The sequence below is a fragment of the Homo sapiens genome, chromosome 18, assembly GCF_000001405.40.
Source record: "Homo sapiens chromosome 18, GRCh38.p14 Primary Assembly".
Classification (NCBI taxonomy): domain Eukaryota; kingdom Metazoa; phylum Chordata; class Mammalia; order Primates; family Hominidae; genus Homo; species Homo sapiens.
The window spans coordinates 53,428,504-53,453,614 of NC_000018.10; the positions used below are offsets into that span (position 1 = coordinate 53,428,504).

Sequence of the window (25,111 nt, forward strand, 5' to 3'; positions counted from 1 at the left end):
TATATTTTATATATTTTATATATTTATGTATTTTATATATATATAAATATATTTATATATATATTTATATATATAAAATATATATTTTTATATATAATTCATATATATTTTTATATATAATGTATATTTTATATAATATATATTTTTATATATAATGTATATTTTATATAATATATATTTTTATATATAATGTATATTTTATATATTATATATATTTATATATATTATATTATATACTATATATTTTATATATAATAAATTATATATTATATATTTTATATATAATAAATTATATATTATATATTTTATATATAATAAATTATATATTATATATTTTATATATAATAAATTATATATTATATATTTTATATATAATAAATTATATATTATATATTTTATATATAATAAATTATATATTATATATTTTATATATAATAAATTATATATAACATATTATATTTTATATATAACATATATATATTTTATATATTTTTTATATAATATATATTTTATATATTTTTTATATAATATATATTTTATATATAATATATTATATATTTTATATATAATATATATTTTATATAATATATATTTTATATATAATATATATATTTTATATATATATAAATATATATATATCGGTTGGTCTGGCGAAGTATACTGCTTTTACTTGTTGGCCTGGCAAAGTGTACTGCCTTTACTTTGGTGCTTGCAAAAAATAATGCAGTATTTGTAAACGTTTTTCCTACTTTAGAAGATGGTCTCTGCAAGAGACCACATGCATGCCTCAGACAGTCAAGACCCATTATCAGGCTAAGATGTAAACCAAGAGCAGAAATTAGGATAAGAAATTAATTTGTTTAAATTTGTCTAGGATACCCACAGTTTCTATTTTGTATCCTGGTATTTTTTTTGTAATAACTGTATGCTCACTCAATTTCATTTTATTCGTGTGTGAAATTATTATCTTAGTTTTGAATTTGATTTCTAAGGATTTTTAAAAAATGAATTTACTTCTCAGGAAGAGTCTAACCTGTTCATATTTTATGGCCTAAATACAGAAATTGGAATTGCAAAAATACTACTACTTATGATTAAGAGAAATATGGGTAATGGCATATTTGGTTTTCTTGCACTTTGGCTCAGAGTAGTTTACCAAATGCATTCCTATCCTGCAGATTATTGCCCTTAGACTTTCCACAGGTGGAAAATAAAACCAAAGGTTTTGAAGAAGGGAAAGCAGCAAGAATTTGTAGAGCACCAGGGCTCAATATTGGACAGGCATAGCAGTAACAATGTATTTTCTTTCAATCAGTGAACTTTCTTTCATGTTGTTTTGAAAACAATGTGTTGAACCTTAGGAAAAGGTTAAGAGAGCTCATTAGTTCTTTTCTATTAAAATATTTGAAATATCCTACGTGTTGGTTATGATTTTGCTTTCTGGTTTTTGATGCCCGATGCCTTTGTTTAAAATCAGCATTGTTATCAACTGCCTGGTAAACCGATCTTTTAGAAACACATTTCAGCCTCTGACAAATCACCTACTTTAAATACGGTCTGTGTGTCAGATGGACAGTAAAATTATATTCAGGTAATATTAATGGATATTCTTTATCTGCTGGTATACAAGACAGAAAATCAATGCAATTTCTATCATCATTAGAATTATTTTCAGAGAACAAATTTTAAGATCAAGAAGATATCTCAGTGCTCAGCACCCTTGGAAAGATATACATTGAACATTTGTTAGATGGCCAGTCTGTCCATTTGATTTAGATTATGGACAATACGTTTTTCTCTAGGGATTGATTGTATGAACGTCGTCCTGGATGACCCTCTCTTATGCCCATTCAGGGAAGATGGATTAAACAAACGATTAGAACTACCACATCCACTTTTCTCCATGTCTTCTGCAGATTAATTTTCCATTCTCTCTTCTCTGAACTTATAAACAATCACACAGAAAAACTAGACTCTAGGACTGAAATCCCAATTGAATTAATCTTTGTTCAGTGCTGAAAATTTTTTATCGTGGAAAAGATTCTCAATCTGCCCATGTGTGCTGCAAATAAGGATTTAATATAAACATTAATGTTATTTCATTTTATACGTACACCACAATAAAAACATGCAAATAATTCAGGTGACATGTAAGGATAATAACATAAATAATAAATTGCATAATAGTAATAACTTAAGATTTGTACTTATTATTAAAACATTACAAAGCATCCTAGCTAGCATTAGTTACTCATAGGACATTGAGAACACATTTTTGCACATCACTTCAGTTAGCACAAAGGAATATAACAATGAACAGACTTCCTAAAGGAAGTCATATTACTTCTGCCAATTTTTTCTTCAATTCAGAGAACAGGTAGCAGGGAGATCAAGAAGACTTTTGTCCAAGGAAGCATATGGTATGTGCCAAAAAGGGATAAAAAGAAGATTCCTTATGAGGCCCATCTTTTAAATAAAATGTGTAAGGCAACCCCTTAAACGACTTTATGACATTTTAAAAATTCAAAGAAAGGAGAGGTATATGAAATTTCTGATTAGGACCTGCCTAAGCATTACCTAAATAAAATATATTTAAATATATAAAAGCTATTTTGAATAACTCAAAACAGCTACAAACTCCCTCTGTTTTAACTCAGCCAATGCCCATTTAATATTTATTTAATTTTTGTTTCTGAAGCTACCATTTCCTGGTTCCAAAATCTAAGGTAAAAGTAGAAAATCATTTGCTTTTATTATCAAAACTTTGGCAGAAGCTTTTTTTTTTTTTATGAAATTAGCTGCATAAAATTCCAAAGTTGTTAAGTGAAAATCAATTAATTACTCTTTAATATCTCATTCCTCCCCATCCTCAATTTGTGTTATTGAGAAAATATGGGTACATAGTAATCCAATACAGAATTCTTCTTTATATCCTGTAGAATTATATTCATATAGTACACTTTGTTTTTTGTTGTTGTTGTTGTTGTTGTTGTTTTTTTACTGAGCCAGAGTCTTGCTTTATCGCCTAGGCTGGAGTGCAGTGTCGCAGTCTCGGCTCACTGCAACCTCTACCTCCTGGGTTCAAGCAATTTTGCCTCCACCTCCAGAGTAGCTGGGACTACAGGCATGCGCCACCGTGCTCTGCTAATTTTCGTATTTTTAGTAGAGACGAGGTTTTGCCATGTTGCCCAGGCTGTCTTGATCTCTTGACCTCAAGTGATCCACCCTCCTCGGCCTCCCAAAGTTCTGGGATTACAGGCATGAGCTACCGCACCTGGCCTTCATATAGTACATTTGATCACTATTCATATAAAATTGTATTATTCATATAAAAAGGAAAAAATAAACTACTGATTTCTAAAATGCTTTAAGCCATGTTGAACTTTATTTGAGGGAAGAAAACTGAAATTTATTACGTGATTTCCCCCAAATTTATATTTGAATTTCCATAAATCCATTTAATTATTTAGAATTTTAATTTGTAAAAGTGTTAAAAATTTAGTATGATATGCAAAAAAGTAATTCAAGATTTTAAAATAAATATAACTATGAAACATATAAAGTTATGTGACTGAAAATAAAACATTTTTATTTGCATGCAGTTCTTTTAATAATACTTTTGATAAGAATACTTTAATAATAATTAAAAAGCATTTTTAATTAAACCTAGTAGTAAGTTTATAGTAATAAATGAATTAAGTTATTCTTAAATCTTTAATGTCAGAAAATATTAAGAACCATCTGCAGTTGGTTAATATTAACCATAAATAGGCCTGCATAGGATCTGATTACAATGAACCAACTCTCCCTGTCATGGCAGGATCCATGTCTAATATATCTTTTTATACTACTCCTTCCCTGAGGATCTAGGACTATGCGTTGCATGTAGTAAGCATTTAATAAATGTTTGAAAGAATTATTACCAGTTTTATGCTTCATTAATAAAATGACCTCTGGGATAGGGAAGTATTTTATATCTTTGCATTAGCTGACTTTCACTCCAGCTGTTTTCTAAATTCTGATTACTCCTCTCTTTCTCGAAATCAGTGCTTATGAAATTAACCAAGGTAACTAAACACATCCAATATTTGTTCTACAGCAACAAGCTCTTAAAAATGCTGTGATATGCCAAGAAGTAACACCCATAAACCCATATCCTTTCCTTTTTAGCCTTTATTGTCTCTTCATTTGACAACTTTGTGATGCTCTCCTTAAAGCAATGGGAGAATCTTTTATCATTATTATTATTATTATTATTATGTATTGGCCACATAAAGGGAGACTTCCTGAAATTTAAAAGACATATTTCAGAGAATGGAAACTTAACATCACTCAAAATTAAAATTAAAATTAAAATCTGATGCCTCTGTCTTTAGATCAAGAGATCTTAGGCTCATCAACATCCCAGAAATGGGTTTTGTGGTTTTTTGGCTGAAGTGGTGCAAGAAATGTGAATCACTATAAATCTAAACTTGCTCGTTGGTGACATCAACTTTTTAAAAAGTGCTTTCTGTTGGACTTGTTGAGAATTACATGATTTCCTTTTGTGATATTAATCTAATTATAAGGGACAAAAAGTTAACCCACATCAATATACTAGATTCTGTGAGTAGAATGTCCAAGCTTTAAGCTACTCCTTGTTATTTAGAAACATTTCTAGAGTTCCTTTATCTCACCCAGCGCTTTGACCTATACGGCATCTGATTTCTTCTACCTATTGAAATTCACGATGTAATCAATAGCCTCACTAAATCTAAGGGGTGCTGTACCCATAGAGCTATATGTGTATGTAATATATGAATATGCTTATTGGCTTCTTTTTGCATCCTGCCACAAATTACAGGGAGAGTTGGAAACTTCATTAAAAAGACATTTGCCAGGCTGCTGGAGGAAAAGGAAAATCCTCCATAGGCTACCTAGCTAATTTCCAGCCGATACAGGATTATTCCCAACAGGAAACATGTATTGCTTTACTGGCCTAAGTGATGATGTTAGCATCTCTTTTGGCTGACTGCTTTGCAATCTAGCTGCTTTCAGTTGCTAGAAAAGTCATCTTAATATTTATGTAGAGCTTCCACCTCACATCAGCCAACGTTGATCTCACGATGTCTCGTGGGCAAAGCTTATCCGCTGCTCATTGAAACCCCAAATGCATCACAGTTATATAAACAAGGTATTTGTAAAAGGGTTAGACTTGTCCACATTTTTGTCAGCCCACTAAAATTTTCACAATTTCAGCTCATTTTGATTGTTCCTCTCACCACCACCTTCCCCCTGTACACACACATAGGAGCCTGCATCCTATCTCCTACTTCCTTACATACTCACAGTCATTGTCCCAGCAGATATTAAACATGCCGTTTTATGCTGAAGATATAATATAAGGTGACTGAATTAATTTATCTTATTGCTTGCTAGAAATTTGACATCCTAACTTCAGCTGTGACTTGATATCAAAAGAATTTTTTAAATTGTGAATATAGAGTCAGTTAACAGGATTCTAAGTTGTTTCTTGAAAGCTGTTTTGCAAATAAAATGATAAAATCTTGGGAAAGCTTTAGTAAGGGTAGTGTTTGTCATGCAAAATAAAGTCACAAAACCAGGACTTGAAAGTTATAGAGATGAAGAAAACTGAAATCTCTAAATGTGAGAAAACAACCTATGTTACTGTATCTGAGTGTCCTGGTTGGCTTTCTCTATGTCATCCACTGATTGGAACTGCTTTCAGAAATAACTGTTTTAAGCAAATAAAATAGAAAATTACCTATACTCTGGTCTTTGTTTGCATACAGATTCACCTCTCAAATGTTTTACATAAGTAGTCTACCTAGATATTCTAGAACTCAAAATCTAATCAAATGATTTCAGTTCTATGAATGCACCAGTAGAGAAAAAGATTATCTGTGGTGAAACACCATTAATTAAATTTTGGATGATAGTATAATTATTTCTGGTGAATTCCTGGCTTATTTCTCTTAAATACGGCTTTCACATCTGTTACACACCTAATGGAAGGCAGAATTTCCAATAATGCTATACTGAAGGAGCTTTCTTCCCTTTATGGTGTATTTGTAGGAAATATTCAGACCATATGGTTTGTGACATAACCTCCACTCTTACTTCCAATGTGGAATTTCATTTCCAGGTACTGTATTTGACACCTAACAAAGAGAATACCCAAAGCCCAGTTATAAGATGAAATGTGCTGGCCCCTTGTAGGATAACAATAATTTTCCATAAAGTCTTGTCAGTTGGGTGACAGTATCTGCAGGACCTAGGAGCCAGGACCTGAGTTATTTCTGTTCTAAAAGGTTCAGGAGAATAGCATTTAGACCGGCACTGCTGCTGCACCTTTAATAAAAGACTTTAATAAGAATATTGGGAGAAATAAAAAGAATGGAGGATGGCATATCAGTGAAACACTGAATTTAGTTTAAGAGAGTTTACTTTTGCGACTTGTTTTTCTCACACATGGAAAATAACATTTTCTTATAGGTGTAAGGGTATGAGAGTTGTCAGGCTTTCTTGGGGGTGATCAAAGTAATCTGTTCTGTTATTGTGTGTGTTAAAATATTTATTCTTTTTGTCTTCATTTTGTTTCATTTGTACTGACATTGTGACATGCTCTCCCAATGAACAGGTCGTCATGGAGATGGAGGTTATTGGCCAGTTGATACTAATTTGATTGATAGAAGCACCCTAAATGGTAAGTATATAAATTAGGTAATATTGAATTAGTTATATTAATTAAATGGTTAATTCAAGAGTGTCTGGGGCAAATTTTCTATCAACTACAAGTGCCAGGAACCTTGGATTTAGTGTCTTAGTGGGATAATAGAAACATGAAGTTATTAAAAAACAAAAACAAAAACAAAAAAAACAAAAAACTTCTAGCACATTCTGCCAGGAGATGATGCCAATAAGAGTTGACAGGTATGTAAAAAAGGAGTCAGTTAGAGAAGCCCAGCATGGAGCACTTTGTAAATGACACAAAGCTGTTAAATACCAAGATTTTTAAATGTTACAATACATTTAAGATGTTTGCAGGAATCTAATTTTATTTGAGAGAGGTGATATCTAAGGTTGGTTAAATTGAAACCCACCCAGTTTCATATATTAAAGTTACTTGGATTTTTGCCTGCAGGGTACATTTAATTCTTCAAAATCCTCTACCATCTTAGGGCTAAATTTTCTTTGTGTTGTCTACATTAGACATTTATTTCTGCTCATCCTAGTGGAGCATGCCCAAATATCTGCTGGCTTTAAGGATGACCAGATGGAGGTACTATCTAGAGCTACATAGAAGGACAAGGTTGGTGTGGGGGCTGCATTCCAGGATCTTATCCTTAGTTTTGCTGAAACAAACTTTAAAAGGATGGACTAATACTGGCCAAATTTTCAGGGGACTAATGTATGTATGAGGCCATGTTATAAGTTTCTTTTTCATTATTGCTGTTGTTTGGTTTGACTTACTAAAAAGACCTTCAGATATTCAAAATGTGAAGATGAACACTTGTATACCCATCAGCAAGGTTAAGATATGAAATATACAGCATGGAATTGAAATATCTTGTATGTCTGTGTTTTCTCACATGCTTCTTAACACTGTTCCTCACTCTGATATAAGTGCTCTAATTTGATGTTTACTACGTATGTATACGTATCCCTAAACATTATATTGTTTTACAGTTTTACAAATTTATAGAAATGATATTGTATCCTGCTACAACTTGCTTTCTTTTTTAACGTAGTTTTGAAGATGTATCCATGTGTTTACAAATAGCTCTCACTCATTTATCTTGGCTGCTGTACAGTATTCTATTTTATGAAACAACAAAATTAACCATTTTTGCAGGTTTTCTTAAGAAACTTGATTACTGAACTGATAAATTTCCATTTGTTTGATCTCCTTTTAAAAAATCCAGAAAGGAAGTCAAAATTCCAATCTAAAAATAGTTTGCTGCATGTGAAATAGAATAGTGGTGTAAATTAAGTGATTATTTCTTATCATAGGCTGTGATAATCTAATGCAGCAATTTTCCCAAGAGGATATATATATATACAGAGTACACCAAATGCTTGCATCAAAGACTTAGGGTTATCTCTCCTCTGGCCAATGGTAGACTTAGAAATATATTTTCACCTCTTGACTTATTTTTGAATTGCCTGGCAATACCTTCCTCTGTTATTAATGCCTTTTTCCTAACCAGCAACACGTAGAACGTCTTATGTTTAAACTTTGAGTCCATTTCTGCTGCTATTAAAAAATACCCCAGATTTGGGGTAACTTATAAACAACAGAAATTTATTGCTCACAGTTTTGGATGCTAGGAAGTCCAAGATCAAGGTGCCAGCAGACTGGGAGTCTGCTGAGGGCTCATTCTCTGCTTCACAGTTGATGCCTTCCAGCTGTGTTCTCCCATGGTGTTTGGAAAGGGTGAGCAAGCTCCCTCAGGCTTTTTCTAAAATAAGGGCACTAATCCCGTTTATGAGGCCACCACTCTCATGACCTAATTATCTCCCAAAGCCTCCACCTCTTAATGCCTCCCTAACAGGGATTAGGTTTCAACATAAGAATTTTGGAAGGACACAAGCATTCAGACCATAGCAAGCTTCCCAGGATGCTCTTTCCAGGCTACTCACAACTTCCTATTGTCTCTTAGACTCCTCATTTTCCTTCATTTAAATAACATGACTGTCCCTGGTAGGTATTTGACTTTCAGACACTTGTTTTAACTAACACCTTGCTCTGGCAGTCCCTAACATACCCAACAGGTAGTTTAGGAAGCACACAGGGCTGGGTGTGGTGGCTCACGCCTGTAATCCCAGCACTTTGGGAGGCCGAGGCGGGCAGATCACGAGGTCAGGAAATCGAGACCATCCTGGCTAACACGGTGAAACCCTGTCTCTACTAAAAACACAAAAAATTAGCCAGGAGTGGTGGCACGCACCTGTAGTCCCAGGTACTCAGGAGGCTGAGGCAACAGGAGAATCACTTGAACCCAGGAGGCAGAGGTTGCAGTGAGCCGAGATCACACCACTACACTACAGCCTGGGCAACAGAGCAAGGCTCCATCTCAAAAAAAAAAAAAAAAAAAAAAAAAAAAGCTCACAGAAGGTGAGAGGAGGGACTTGTTGAGACAGAAAACAGACCCCAGGCCATGCTCCATAAAATGGGCATAAGTAACAATAATTCCCTCCTCCCAACTTTGCAATTTCATTAGCTCACTCTCGTGCTCCAAATTTTATCTTAAATTTCAACAATAAGCCAAAAACATTATATGTATTCAAGCAGTCAGTCAAGAAATGCGACTAAGCCCTCAGCGAGTGCAGGGCACTTGCAATGAGCTATGGGCGCAAACTGAAGGACAGACCACTGCAGGACCAATACACCAAGAGGGTTAATTGCCTGGGTGGACAAAGCAGAAATATACACCCCAGGAAGATGAAAGAGGATGAGAAAATCCCTAGAGATATATAGCAGGGTAAAAAAAGGAAGTTGCTGAAATTGGGAGAAACATAATTGTTGTATTTTATACCCTGAGATACAGAGCTTCTGACTTTGGAGTTCATGCAGGAAATTAGCATTGTCCCCTTTAGAATCATCCAACAGAGCCAATTTTAAGAAGCTATTTCTACAAGGATTTTCACATTGAAATTCATTCCCAGTCAAGGGAATACTATCTATACTGGTACGGGACAGTACTTTTTGAAGAGACATACTGCCAGAAAATTAAAGAGGGATTTGGTATGGATGAATGAGAGAGAGAAATTAACCTATAGGTTTCAACCACTACTGAGCAGTGGTTATGAGGCTTAAAGCTTGGGCAAATGTAAGCCACAGACACAAAACTATGTACTCTCTTAAACTGCATGTCCAAAAGGACTCCAGTATTGGGAAGAATTGCCAGATATTGCAATTAAAAATATAAAGAGGCCAAGTAACATTTAAATTATTTCTGTGAGTAATAGATAAAGAAAAATTATAAAAGGGATTGCCATCTCAATTTATATATGCACCCCTAGGTATACATGAATAGGCAACTAGAAATAATTCTAACCTAATTGGGCCTCCTGTATTTTTAATTGTGAAATCTGGAAATCCCAATTTCAGATTGAATTCAAAAGTTTGTTGTTGACTATTTGAAGTTGCTATTCAAATTAAAATAAATTTTTGGTTGAAAAGAAATCCCAGCCCACATTTGACATGAGCATATAAGTCAACAATCACTTTCCTTTTCAAAGGTGTCAGATGTTAGAAGAAGAGAAAGAGAAATCCACATCATTGGGTTCATTTTTGTTTTACCATTTAAGATTCCTAGTGAGAAAACTGACCAAAATTAAATTTGACCTGGTACACATTATCTCACAGGAGAAAGTCGTGAAGATTAAATAGACCGATGCCATTCAGTAGCTTTGAAGCAGTTTAGATGCGTTATTGACATTACTTCTTCCCAATTTTCTGCATCACTTAATGATGTTTTAGGGATTTCATGCTAAATGAATGAGATGAATAACGTATCTGAAATATTTCTAGATTCCCTACTGGAATAACAAATTATTTCAGGCTGTCTGGCTGATTAAGGTGAACTGATAACTTCAGAGAGCCAGGGATGGTAGAGGCCAAACTTTATCTGCTTCCTATTCTATTTTGCTAGCAAATAAATGATGATAAGTATATAATATAACTTTAGCCTTGGCTATTACAAGCAAATCAGCAAAGGCATCTGAAAACCTCAGATTTCTAATTAAATTTTTGCTAATGTCTTAAGCTTTAAAAGGGGGGTATGTTTTCCAAGTAGATGTGCAAGTGAGGCCCCTGAGTAATAAAACTCCAATTGTACTTCACCCTTATAAAGTGGGCTACATCAAAACATTTAATGTCTGAGTTTTTAAACCTTGTATACAATAAAATTTCATACGTCTCCCCTTAGAGTGACAGAATTATAGAGGTTTCCTAGCTCCCTCTACACTTGCTGGATTCATTCTTCAAAGCATTGTAATAGAATAATGGCTTACTGTCAGGATACTCAAGCCAGTTGCAAATAAATTTAGACCTTGCTAATCATTTACTTTCTCTTACAGCGTGCCACTCTTAAAAATGTACTCTTGGAATTCAAATAAAGAAAAACCAAACTATAGTTCATGTTTACTCCTGTAGTTGGAAGCCCTTAATTAAATGGTAGAACTGAAAGAGGCTTCCTAAATTATTTTCTGATGGCAGGTAGAATCAAAGCTAATATGTGGTGATGTAGTAGTATTTTTCTTTTTTTTTTTTTGAGACGGAGTCTCGCTCTGTCGCCCAGGCTGGAGTGCAGTGGCGGGATCTCGGCTCACTGCAAGCTCCGCCTCCCGGGTTCACGCCATTCTCCTGCCTCAGCCTCCCAAGTAGCTGGGACTACAGGCGCCCGCCACTACGCCCGGCTAATTTTTTTGTATTTTTAGTAGAGACGGGGTTTCACCGTTTTAGCCGGGATGGTCTCGATCTCTTGACCTCGTGATCCGCCCGCCTCGGCCTCCCAAAGTGCTGGGATTACAGGCGTGAGCCACCGCGCCCGGCCGTATTTTTCTTTTATGATGCATTCAATTTTAGATTATGGTCCACATTCTTAATGCAGAAAAATTCTTCAATATCTGGAAATGTGTTTTGTAGTTTATATTTGTATAAATGACGGAACTATGAAAATTGCTTCAACATAATCCTCCCTTTCTGATTAGAGAAGATAAAATGGCAATTTCCTTTTTTCTATAGCTCTACCTATAATTTGTAAAATCAGTGTAACAAGTTTGATTAAAAGATCTATAAACCTCATAATAGTATTTTATTGACCTCAACCTTTAAAGATAAAGTTAAACTTGATGAGTTTTAAAACTTTGGTACATCAATGTTAATAAATAGATCAACATTATTAATTTTTAAATACTCAGAATCATATTAAGTGCTCTATAAAATTTGTCAGAAAAGAAGCAGTTTGCTCTCTATTTTTGCAAACCTGTTTTTTTTTTTTTAGAATTCAATAACATTTTAACCAATGTAAATAAAGTATACATAAAACTCTTTCCACACTTCTATAAAATGATCATTCCAAGGTTGGTAACTATTAGAAGACACCCAATGCTACACTCAGCAGAAATCTTAATGCAAAAGAAAAGATACAGAAACAAAATTTTACAGCTTTTTTTCCAGATGAAAAGAAAAGATAACTAGAGTAATCTGAGGTCCTAGGTTCTAGTTCAGTGATTACAAGAGACTGCTCACCTATCATCCACCCATTATCTTTATCCCAAAGGATTTTTAAAAGTCCTAGTCTAAACCCAGATTCTAGACCTGACTTTGTAGAGCTTAGAGCTGTGTGACAAATCAAGTCACTTAAACTCCGGATCTCAATTTTCATCTGGACCTAGAAACTGTTAAGCTAGAGCAGCACTTCTGAACCTCACCAGCATTAACATGTAAGATTGGATTTTTCTTTGTTGTGGGCACATGTCCTGTTCAGGATGTTTAGCAGCATCTCTGGCCTTTACCCACTGGATGCCAGTAATATCTCCTCTCCTCCATGTTGTAGCAATCCAAAATGTCTGTAGACATTGCCAAATTTCCCCCTTGGCAGGGAGGGAATCTTCCCAGTTGGAAACCACTGAGCTAGATTAGCATACCCTGTAGGTTGCTCCAAGGTACATGGGTCCTCTTGAGAAGCTCTGAGAAAATAAATAAATCAAGTGTCCCATTGTCAGATAAGCATCAGGAAAGTGGTATGGCACCTCACTGCCCTTTTGCCAGGCCTTTGTCTTCTGTTTGAAAAGTAGGTTTTAACCTTGACAGTGCTTCTCTGCTCAGTCTTAACCTCTTGATTTTGGTGATCTCATCCTTTCCATGGATCGGAATTCCATCCATGTGCCAACTCCCAAATGTATATCATTAATGCAGAGAGAGATCAATGTTCTGGCTGTTTCTTTAATAATTATCATGAGATCTCCACCCCGACGTATTCAAGACTAAACTTTTGCTCTTCCCTCTTTGAGCCTTCCCTTTCACCCTTTCCCTCATCTCAAGACATGAGGACTACTACTTAGGCTTGAACCTGAGTCTCTCATTCTTTCCTCCCCCATATCCAACCGGTGTTGTGCTCATTTACTTTCAAACTGTATTGTGTAACTGGCCACTTTGCCTGATTGTAATTGCCACTGTCTCAGGTCAAGCTATCATCATCTCTCATTTGGAGAACTTCAATAACCTCTTAGCTGATCTCCATGCTTCCACCACTGACCCCTCTCCACACAACAGCCAGAGTGGTCTTCTTAAAACAAATCACGTCTGTTTCTGGCTTGCTGAAACCCGTTAGAGGGTCTGTGATTGCATTTAAGATAACTGAATGTAATCTACAGACTCAGTAAAACTGGGTCCTCTTTCTCTGTGTAGCCTCCTCTTATGCCATTATCCCTTTTGCTGGCTGTGTTCCAGGCACATGGGCTGCTCTCAGTTCTGTTTAAAGGAATAGGAGCTGATGCTTAGCAATAACTCATGCTTCAGCCTGTTGCTTTCATAATAAGTCCTTTCATGAGCCCCCACCAACAGCCATACATTCTCATTGTTATACCTCTCTACATGAATCTTTCTACTTTTCTTTTTAGCACTAGTTATAATTGTAATTTTATACAGGCATCCTTCCTTTTATTGTGCTTCACATTATTGTGCTTCACAGATACTGCAGTTTTTCCAAATTGAAAGCTTGTGCTAACCCTGCATTGTGCAAGACTATTGGCAACATTTTTCTAACAGCTTGTGCTCACTTCATGTCTCTATGTGACATTTTGGTAATTTTTCTAATATTTCAAACTTTTAAATTATTATTATATCTGCTACGATGGTCTGTGATCAGTGATCTTTGACATTACTATTGTAATTGCTTTGGGGCACCACAAACTGCACCCATATAAGATGATGATCTTAACCGATAAACTGTTGTGTGTTCCAGCTGCCCCACCAACCAGCCTGTCTCTCTCCCCCTTTTGGGGCTTCTCTATTCTCTGAGCACAACACTGTTGAAATTAGGCGAATTAATAACCCTACAAGGCTTCTAAGTGTCCGGGTGGAAGGAAGAGTCACATGTCTCTCACTTTAAAATTCAAAAGCTGGAAATGATTAGGCTTAGTGATGAAGACATGTCAAAAGTCAAGATAGGCTGAGAGCTAGACCTCTTATGCCAAACCAAGATGTGAATACAAAGGAAAAGTTCTTGAAGGAAATTCAAAGTGCTATTCTAGTGAACCCATGAATGATAAGAAAGCAAAACAGCCTTATTGCTGACATGAAGAAAGTTTTTGTGGTCTGGATAAAAGATAAAACCAGCGACAACATTCCCTTCAGTCAAAGCTTTATCCAGAGCAAGGCCCTAAGTCTCTTCAATTCTGTGAAGATTTATGGAGGTGAGAAGCTGCAGAAGAAGAATTGGAAGCTGGCAGAAGTTGATTCATGTGGTTTAAGAACAGAAGCCGTCTCTATAACAGAAAAGTGCAAAGTGCAACAGCAAGTATTGATATAGAAGCTGCAGGAAGTTATCCAGAAGATCTAGCTAAGATAATTGATGAAGGTGGCTGCACTAAACAAGAGATTTTCAACACAGACAAAAGAACCGTATATTGGAAGCAGATGCCATTTAGGACTTTCATAGCTAGAGACAGGTCAATAGTTGGCTTCAAAGTTTCAAAGGACAGGCTGACTCTCTCATCAGGGTATAGTGCAGCTGGATTTTAAGTTGAAACCAATGCTTATTTACTATTCTGAAAATCCTAGGGCCCTTAAGAATTATGCTAAATCTACTCTGCCTGTACCCTATAAATGGTGCAACAAAGTCTGGTTAACTACACACCTGTTTACAGCATGGTTTACTAAACATTTTAAGCCCACTGTAGAGACCTATTGCTTAGACAAAAAGATTCATTTCAAAATATTACTGCACATTGACAATGCTCGTAGTCACCCAAGAGCTCTGATGGAAATGTACAAGAGATTAATGCTGTTTTCATGCCTGCTAACACAACATCCATTCTGCAGCCCATGGATCAATGAGTCATGCTTTCAAGTCTTATTATTTAAGAAAGATATTTCATAGATATGTCTTCCAGCTGCCATAAAGTGTGATTTCCTCTGATGGATCTGAGCAAAGTAAATTGAAAACGTTTTGGAAAGGATTCACCACTCTAGATGCCATTAAGAACATTTGTGATTCATGGGAAAAAGTCAAAATATTAACACTAACAGAAGTTTGGAATAGATTCCAATAAGGAGTAGATTCCAATCCTTACAGATGATTTTGAGAGGCTCACGACTTCAGTGGAGGAAGTAAGTGTGATCGAAATCCCAGTAACTGCGATCGAAATAGCAAGAGAGCCAGAATGATAAGAGGAGCCTTGAAGAAGTGACTGAACTGCTGCAATCTCATGATAAAATTTTAACAGATGAGGAGTTGTTTCCTATGGAGGAGCAAAGAAAGTGATTCATTGAGATGAAATCTACTGCTAGTGAAGATGTTGTGAATATTTTTGAAGTGACAATGAAAGATTGGTAATATTACGTAAACTTAGTTGATAAAGCAGTGGTAGGGTTTGAGAAAATTGACTCCAATTATAAAAGAATTTCTCCTATGGGTAAAATGCTATCAAATACATCCCATGCTACAGAGAAATATTTCTTGAAAGGAATGATCAATTGATGCAGCAAACTTTATTGTTTTCTTATTTTAAGAGATTGCCACAGGCTGGGCATGGTGGCTTATGCCTATAATCCCAGCATTTTGGGAAGCCAAGTTGGGCAGACCATTTGAGATCAGGAGTTCGAGACCAGCCTGTCCAACATGGTGAAACACCATCTATACTGAAAATACGAAAAGGAACCTGAGGCAAGAGAATCTCTTGAACCCAGGATGCGGAGATTGCAATGAGCTGAGATCACACCACTGCACTTCAGCCTGAGTGACAGAACGAGAGTCTGTCTCAAGAAAAGAAAAGAAAAAAGAGAGATTGCCACAGCCACCCCACCCTTCAGCAATTCCCAACCTCATCACTCAGCAGCCATCAACATAAAGGCAAAAGCCTCCATCAGCAAAAGGTCTGTGACTCGCTGAAGGTTCAGATGATGCTTAGCATTTTTTAGAAATGAAGTATTTTTAAATTAAGGTGTGCCATTTTTAGATGTAATGCTATTGCACACTTAATAGACTACAGTATAGTGTAAACTTTTATATGCACTGGAAGACCAAAAAACTAGTGCAACTTGCTTTATTCCAGTGTGTGGAACCAAAACCACAGTATTTCTGCAGTATGCCTATATTTATTTCCCTCATGATTTGTTGAACATCTACCTTTTTTTAGTAAATTGCAAGTTCCATGAAGTCCATAATCATGCTTCTTTTGGTTACAACATTGTATCTCCAACATCTAACTGGATCTTCAACACATATTTATGGAATAATTGAATCTGTTTTCTACCACCCCTGCCCCACTCCTCCTGGCAATTAACAATTCACATCAGCATATTAAAAATCCAAATTTTTTTAAAATAAATATGTTCTGAAACTTAGTTGTCCAAGGAACTGTACCCCCATAACGCTGATAAATATCTTATTTTAGGGTACAATGGGCTAAATTATCTGTGAGTTGTCTTCCAGCTGATTGATTACAGCATCTTATTTCAGGGGGAAATACTTTGAAACGATCAAGGCCGTATGAACTTTGGTTCAAATTCAAATGCTTATAAAATTATTAAGACATATGTAGAGCTCAAAGTGTTCTAATAATTATAAAGCCATTATCAGGGTAAACTGCAATTGTAGGAGTGAAGTTAAATCCCCAACTATACACTTTCATTGGACCTCTTTCCTTCCTCGGAAGTGAACTTGTCATTCTTACATTCACATTGTTTGCCTATTGATATTGTGTAGCTATTGGGGCACAGCCATTACAGCCATTGTGCCAAGGGGACCAGGTCCTCAAAGTAGGAGCCAGGGCTCTTAGAGTCAATATCTAGCTTTCTTTTCAATGATAATTAAGTACTCAGAGCTCTGGTCTATCAATGAGCTTGCTGCAGAGTGTTTATGAGAGCAAAATATGATAAGAAATATAAAACATTTTTGACAGTCTATAAAATTTTTATAAAAACAAGTTACTTCAATGAACCAATTTTTTAATATTTAATAAGTCTTTATTAAATATATGTATTTGCTTTATTAAATTTAGAAGGAAAAGGCTGAAACATTTTATCATGTTCAAACATCATGGAAATAAAAAATAAATGGAATGCCCATGAGATGGTAAAAAATGTGACACCCTTATTACTAATTTTAATGGAACACATCTAGGTCTTGATTACTCAGGCACTGGATACCCACACTATTATGCTAACAGCAGAGACAGGTATATTATGATACAAGGTTTTTTTTCCTTTAAACTGGGAACATTACATAGGATATAATACATTGGGTGGACCTGGTCGTTCATGCCTGTAATCCCAGCACTTTGGGAGGCTGAGGTAGGAGGGTTGCTTGAGGCCAGGAGTTTGAGACCAGCCTGGGCAACATAAGAAGACCCTGTCTCTACAAAAAAAAAAAAAAAACAAAAAAAAACACTTAAAAATTTTCCAGGGATGGTGGCATGCACCTCTGTAGTCCTAGCTACTAGGGAAACTGAGATGGGAGAATTGCTTGAGGCTAAGAGTTCAAGGCTACAGTGAGCTATGATTGTGCCACTGCACTCCAGCAGTAGTCACAGAGTGAGACCCTGTTTCTAAAAAAGGAAAAAAACACATTGAGCCACATCATAATGTCTAACGAGTGCCAACTTTGTGCCAGGGCTTGTGGTCACTGTGGTGCAACTATTATCTCATGAAATCATCACAGTGCCCTATAGGATATTTGCAAGTCTTTGAATGACTTTATGCAGCTTCCCCACTGAAGCTGGAAAGGGGGCAATGTCACTTGCCCCTTCTGGAGCCAGCCTGTCTCCCAGATCTCCTAACTACACTAATCTAGGTTTGAGAGCTCTAAAATTTGTTTCTAATTTGTAGCAGTCTTTTGATGTATTAAGATATAGATCCTCATTACTTGCAGAATCTGAATTTGTGAATTTACCTGCATGCTAAAATTTATTTGTAACCCCCAAATCAATACTCACAGTGTTTTCATGGCCATTCATGGATGTGTGCAGAGCTGCAAAAATTTTGGGTTGCCCAGTGCTCATGTCACCACCTAAGACAGAAAAAAAGGTACTCTCTGTCTTCTCGTTTCAGCCCCCATACTATAAGAAAGTGCCCCTTTTTTGGTATGTTTCTGCCAATTTTTCCATTTTTTTCTTTTTGTTGGTGACTTCACTGTTTAAAATGGTCCCCAAATGTAGTGCTGAAGTGCTTTCTAGGTTCCTAAACACAATAAGGGTGTGGTGTGACTTACAGAGAAAATATGTTCTCTCTACAAATTTTGAAAAGCTTTGCTCAGGCATTAGTTATAGTGCTATTGGATGTTTCAGTATTAATGAATCGACATTATATATTAAATAAGATGTCTCTAAACAGAAACACACAAAAAACAAAGTGTATATTAATTGGTTGATAAAACAGTGTGATCAGAGGCTCACAGGAAGCTAACCTTGTGTTTCCTCTAGAAGTAATCATTCAGTATTCACTAATTAGCATTTGTGGCAACTTTATAGAACACAACTCCTGCAAATAACAAGAATTGACTGCCACTAAAGACACCATTGCACTTGACTTTTTTAATTGCCTGCTTGATGTCAGGTAATCTGATTATTCAGCCTTTGATTTCAGATTGAGTGATTAATGAAAGACCTTGAATACAAAATTTTAAACTGGTGGGAACTTTTATGAGGAAGTCATAAAGGCCTGCAGTCAAAGATTTGTAATGGGAGTCCTCATGAACCCCGACTCTCCCAGGCAAATGACATCAATATAATCTCACTGGTACTCAGCAGAATTCAGAGTTATTTTTTTTGACTTGGAATATGATGTCTTCCAGGGTGAAAAGAAAGAAATAGAAGTAGAAATTTGAGTAATTTCAGTTTACCATGCTTTTAAAAATGTTGACAAGGTGTACTGTTATGTATGATTCAAGCTAAGTTTGTCAGAAACAGTGAATTGTTAAATTTAAGTCATGCTTATAAAAATCTATGAGATCCCTAACTATCTTCCTTGTAAGTTCTCACATAAAAGGTTAATTTATTCCAATCTATTAACTTATTAAGTACAAAAAGGGCATATTGAAATACTACTGTAAAATAACTTTTTAAATAATAAGTAAAACTGTGAAAAAAGGGAGTTTTGACCTTTCATTTTTTGCTTCATTCTTTTATGGTAAGTGTAAAAATTACTTCAAGGAAATCCTATTTCTTTCATTTGTAATCATAATTTTTTAACAGAAAGTGCTGTTATTTAAAAACTTTTGATGAGTTTTTTCCTCCAAGAGTCAACTTATAGTAGAAGTACTTCTGTTTCCAATAATAATGAATGAGCTATAATTTATTTAAATTTTGATGAGTTTTTTTTTTTTTTTTTTTTTTTACAAAAGCAATGATTCTTAGGCAACTTGTCAAAAGACGTCATTTCAGTTTTGAGGCAAGTACTGGGTTATTATATTAAATTGTGAGAATAGGTTAATTTAGCTATCACAATGAGTATTTGTATTAATACGTTCTTACAATGCTAATAAAGACATAGCTGAGACTGGGTAATTTATAAAGGAAAGAGGTTTAATTGACTCACAGTTCAGCGTGGCTTGGGATGCTTCAGGAAACATACAGTCATGGTGGAAGTGGAAGCAAACACATCCTTCCTCACATGGAGAAGGACAGCAAGGAGAAATGCTGAGCAAAAGGGGGGAAAGGACCTTATAAAACCATCAGACCTTGTTGTGAGAATTCACTATCACAAGACCAGCATGCGGGTAAACACCCCCATGATTAAATTAGCTCCCACTGGGTCCCTTCTGGGACACATGGGGATTATGGGAACTACAATTCAAGATGAGATTTAGGTGGGGATGCAGCCAAATCACGTCAGTATTATTCCTAAAAATGTGGTGGCTCACACCTGCAATCCCAGCACTTTGGGAGACTGAGGCTGGCAGATCACCTGAAGTAAGGTGTTCAAGACCAGCCTGGTCAACATGGCAAAACCCGTCTCTACTAAAAATACAAAAATTAGTGTGGTGGCACATGCCTGTAATCCCAGATACTTGGGAGGCTGAGGCAAGAGAATCGCTTGAACCCAGAAGGCAGAGGTTGTCGTGAGCCGAGATCATGCCAGTGCACTCCAGCATGGGTGATAGAGCAAGACTCTGTCTCAAAAAAAAATCCTTTACAGTCTGGAAGTTCACACCATAAGTCCCAAATGCTATTGTAGATATTATAAATTTAGGCAACATTTTATTATTGCGTTAGTCATGTAATTTTATTATAAGCACCTCCTCTGTATCAGGTGCTGAGATGGTTGTTTTACATGTATTTTATCTAATTCTGTCAGTAACTGCACACAATAAGTATTACATTCTTTATACAGATGGAGGCACTGAGGTACAGAAGGTCTAAATATTTTGCTCAAGATGTATAGAAAATTAATATAGGTTATTAAAGAAAAATAATCAAATTTAGGTATAGGAAAACATACAAATTCCTTGCTTTTTTATACTTTCTAAATTATTTGTAAATAATATAACCTAATGTTTAATTTTTAAGAAATGTGTAACTTGTAATGACAAACATGACTGACATAGAACAGAGTATTGCTAGTTGATTTATCATTGACTGAGAGCTTAAGAAAGCTACGTCAAGGGTCATTAGTCATTCTTATTTAGCAAGTAACTCATCACAGATGTCTTATTATTCTGTTATTTTCCACCTACATATTTTCTGCCACGAGGTACTGAGGCAATTCAGGAAAACATTTGTGTTAGGACTTTGTGGCTTTTGAACCCGGTGGCTGCTTTTAGGTGGGATTCATACACCTTTAACAGGTTGAAAATTAAATTGCTTTATAGATGGCATCTTCAAAGGAATGGTGGTAAATTGTGAGTGATTGGTATCAAGCAGTTTGTCTTTTACAGCATCAAATAGTGTTTCCTCATAAACCATAGCCTCTCTCGTTCTTGTCACTCAGGAATTCTTATGGTACAAAGTAGCATCTCTTCTCCTCTCCGTACCTTCCACTCAGTAGGAAAGCTTAATCTTGTTTTTATTGAGATATATCTTATGCGCCATAAACTCACCCTTTGAAAATGTACAATTCAGCGGTGTTCAGTGTATTCATAAGCTTGGGCTGCCATCACTGCTATTTAGTTCCAGAACATTGTCATCATTCCAAAAGTATACCCTGTATCTGTTAGCTATCCCTCCCCATTCACCCCTCTTTCCATCCACTGGAAAACACCAGTCTACTTTCTGTCTCTCTAGATTTGCCTATTCTGGATATTTCATATAAATAGAATCATATAATATATGTCCTTTTGTGTCTGGCTTCTCTCACTTAGCACAGTGTTTCCATAGTTTATCCATATTATAGTAGGTATTAGTGCTTCATTTCTTTTTATGCCTGGGTAATATTCCATCATAGGGGGATATATATATATATATATATATACACACACACATACACACATACATATGCATACATACATACACACACACACACACCACACATTTGTTTATTCATTTATCAGTCCATAGACATTTAGCTTGTTTCCACTTTTGGCTATTCTGAACAGTGCTACTATGAACGTTTCTCTATAAGGTTTTTTGTGCAGGCATAGGTTTTTATTTATATTGTGTAAATAGGTGTTTCCTCTCATTTTTTCATTGCTTCCCTCGAACTCCCATCACTACCCCTAAGTTCAGAAAAGCCCAGAACATTAGGAACTTTGTATATCCCAAGAGAGCTTGGTAAAACTTCTGCCACATCTTCCTAAACCTGAACTCCATTTTCCTGTCTTTTCCCAGAGCCGCCAATTGGACAAATGCACCCCCCGCATGGCAGTGTCACTCCTCAGAAGAACAGCAACCTGCTTGTGATCATTGTGGTCACCGTTGGTGTCATCACAGTGCTGGTAGTGGTCATCGTGGCTGTGATTTGCACCCGACGCTCTTCAGCCCAGCAGAGAAAGTAGGTAACAGCTGGTTCCCAAGAGGAAAGAAGTCATTGTCTTTTGGGGTTATATTTTTGATGGTCCTCTTTCTGCGTTCTTTCATAATTCACCCCATGTCCTTACTTCCTAACCCTGGCAAAACCTTGCGTTTTGTCTATTCCAGGCCTATCATTAAGTGAGTGAGGGCTAGACTCGCAGATAAGATAACTAACAAAATCCATCTGGGACCCACTTATATTTCTGTTTGCTTTTACTTCTCTGACCCCTTCTCATTTTCAAGTGAGCGCAGGTGTTCCTTAGGTAACACCTAGAGAATAGACTCCACCATGCCCCTGTTTCTGGCCTTCCCTGAAATCATGTACACGAGATTTGAGGAATGTGTTTCTCTGTGTGCACTTATTTACCACTTTTTACAAGGAGCCCTGTAGGCAGTTAATCAATACTTATTGGAGAGATGACTAAATATAGAATGCCAGACTCTGTACAGTTACAATCCTGTTGGTGCTTAGTTTGGAGGCAGTAGTTAAGAAAGAAGAGAGAGTTCTGAGATTCAAAATGGTTTATTTTCTGTGGTTAATTGTCAGAAATTAAAAGTGTTGAGGGCTTTAAGAATATTTTCATATTATGCAGCTTTAGGTTCTAGCAGATGCAGAGAATGATACATCAAAGTACAAAGTTTAAAATGGAAAAGTGATTTTTATTCAGCCTATATCCTTGCAGCAACACCCTGTAACTGGCCAGTTAGTCTGTGTCAGCCAGTGCTGGGAGTCAGCAATAATCTCACAGCCATTCTCTGCCTCTTTGACTTTCTAGTCCTTTTAAAATTCAGCCTGATGTGTCTTTTTCAGCTACACTCTCTCACTGAGTTGACTATCTTAGGCTCTTCCATGAGTTTTTGGTTCTGGTTTTAGGTTTTTCCATTGGCCTCAGGCATGACATTACCTCTGAAAGCCTGAGGTATGGGTTCATAGGTGGCTGGTTTGACAACTGTGTACTTTACACTTTGCTAGAAAAGATTCTCCAGCAAATAATGTTCCCCCTTCTGTTGCTAATAGCTCGCTCTTGCTCTCTCTCTCTCTCTCTCTCTCCATCTCTCTCTCTCTCTGTCTGTCTTTCTTTAAGTCCTGTAACTCTATTTGTAGATCTCTAGTTTACCTTCCAGCACTCTGAAGTGACATGTTTAGAAAGAGAACAGGGGAAGATATACATACTGAAGAAAAGTAACATGGGGTGTAGATGCAGGCTTTGTATTTAATTTATTTCTATGGCAGGACAAATTTTCTAACCAGCTGATTTATGAGATTTGACTAGTTTGAAGCTGGTGATAGCTGGTGTGCTGCTCCATTGTGCCTAAGCAAGAAACCTGCTAGAGTGAGCTTAGCTGGGCCAGCCTCATGTGTGAGCATTCTGGGAAGTCATAATCACTCACAGAGCTTCCACAGTGCAGGGCTGTTAATAAGGCTCTGGAGGGGAAAGTAACTAATTGAGTAAGGCATTGAACAATCTCTTGGTGCTGTGTTATCAGGAAAGGGGTTGTGAAATCACGGAACAGTGGAACATCAAGGCAGCAGGTCTCTGAAGCAGAGTTAAGAGGGACTCATGTAAAAGAAGGTGGGGAGGCGGTACCAAAATGACACCTGGCCTACCATATAACTGCTTTCAAGACACTGAAGCATTCACTAAACTAGCCAAATGTAACTAAGCTATCTGTAGTGGGTTTGTTTTTGATTTGGGTTCCCCCCCGCCCCGTGTCATTTCTGTGAGAAGAATGTTCGAGCATTAGATTGACCTGATGAACTGGATTCCTGGATATATTTTGTTTCTCCACAGAGAGAACACCAGTCTTCTCAATGTGCAAAAGTGGGATTTGGTGCCATGTTGAGAAAATCTCCAGTCATCTTAAATCCTACCCTAAGCACTTTGGCAAAAGCTTCAGGGCTTTATTTGGAAAAGGGAGACTCTGAGCCCTGAGTATGACTTGTTTTTAAAAATAGGGACCTAATTAAAGAATAAGTGGTTCTATTAATGACTGAAAATCCAAGAACAGTTAGTTGTAGAGTCACTTTGGTTTTTCCTCACTGCACTCTCAAAGTCTTTTAATAGTTACTTGTGTTCACACTTTGTTTCATATCTTTCTTCAGTAGCAGACCCGTTGGCATTCATTTTTCATCCCTTTGTGTGCATATTTTCATAGAGAAAAAGAAAATGTTTCCTTCAAGTTATTTCTGAACTATAGTTTAGTGGGGTTTGTTTGTTTGTTTGTTTGTTTGTTTGTTTGTTTGTTTTTTGAGATGGAGTCTCACTCTATTGCCCAGGCTGGAGTGCAGTGGTGCAATCTCAGCTCACTGCAACCTCTGCCTCCCATTTTCATGCCATTCTCCTGCCTCAGCCTCCCGAGTAGCTGGGACTACAGGTGCCCGCCACCACGCCCAGCTAATTTCTTGAATTTTTAGTAGAGACAGGGTTTCACCGTGTTAGCCACGATGGTCTTGATCTCCTGACTTCATGATCTGCCCGCCTCAGCCTCCCAAAGTGCTGGAATTACAGGTGTGAGCCACCGCGCCCGGCCCCTTATAGTTTAGTTTTTTGTTATTTGTTCCATTGAGGACCGCTACTCCTCTGCATCACAATTGAGCCCTTCAGAACAAACTGGATAATGCAGGTGAAAGCAAAATCAATTCCAATCTGAAACAGAAATAAGATCCCCTCCAAAGCTCTTAGAAAATTGGACTTTAATGTAATTAATAAGTTGAAGTAGAAAACGCATTCACGAGCTTCTTCAATATCTCTTTTGGGGTTCTAGAGAATATAAATTTTTCTTTATGTTTTTTTTGGGGGACTTGAATTACATCCAAGTGAATTGAAAAAGTTCTATGGACTCTCAGTAATATCTTATTCAGGTTAAGTGTCTATGCATTTAATAAACCTAACCTTTTTATAAAATCATACATATATTCAACAATTAGGCT

At 36.3% G+C, this 25,111-nt stretch overlaps 1 protein-coding gene across 5 annotated transcripts in view; it reads left to right on the plus strand.

The window, feature by feature from the left end:
- The window catches only part of DCC (DCC netrin 1 receptor), a 1,195,703-nt gene that overhangs the window by 1,088,307 nt on the left and 82,285 nt on the right, over window positions 1-25,111 (plus strand). For all 5 annotated transcript variants that reach the window (NM_005215.4, XM_017025568.2, XM_017025569.2 and 2 more), the window contains 2 exons: window positions 6,641-6,706; window positions 21,997-22,159. In NM_005215.4, coding sequence (NP_005206.2) covers window positions 6,641-6,706; window positions 21,997-22,159 — 229 coding nt within the window. The remainder of the gene's footprint in view (window positions 1-6,640; window positions 6,707-21,996; window positions 22,160-25,111) is intronic.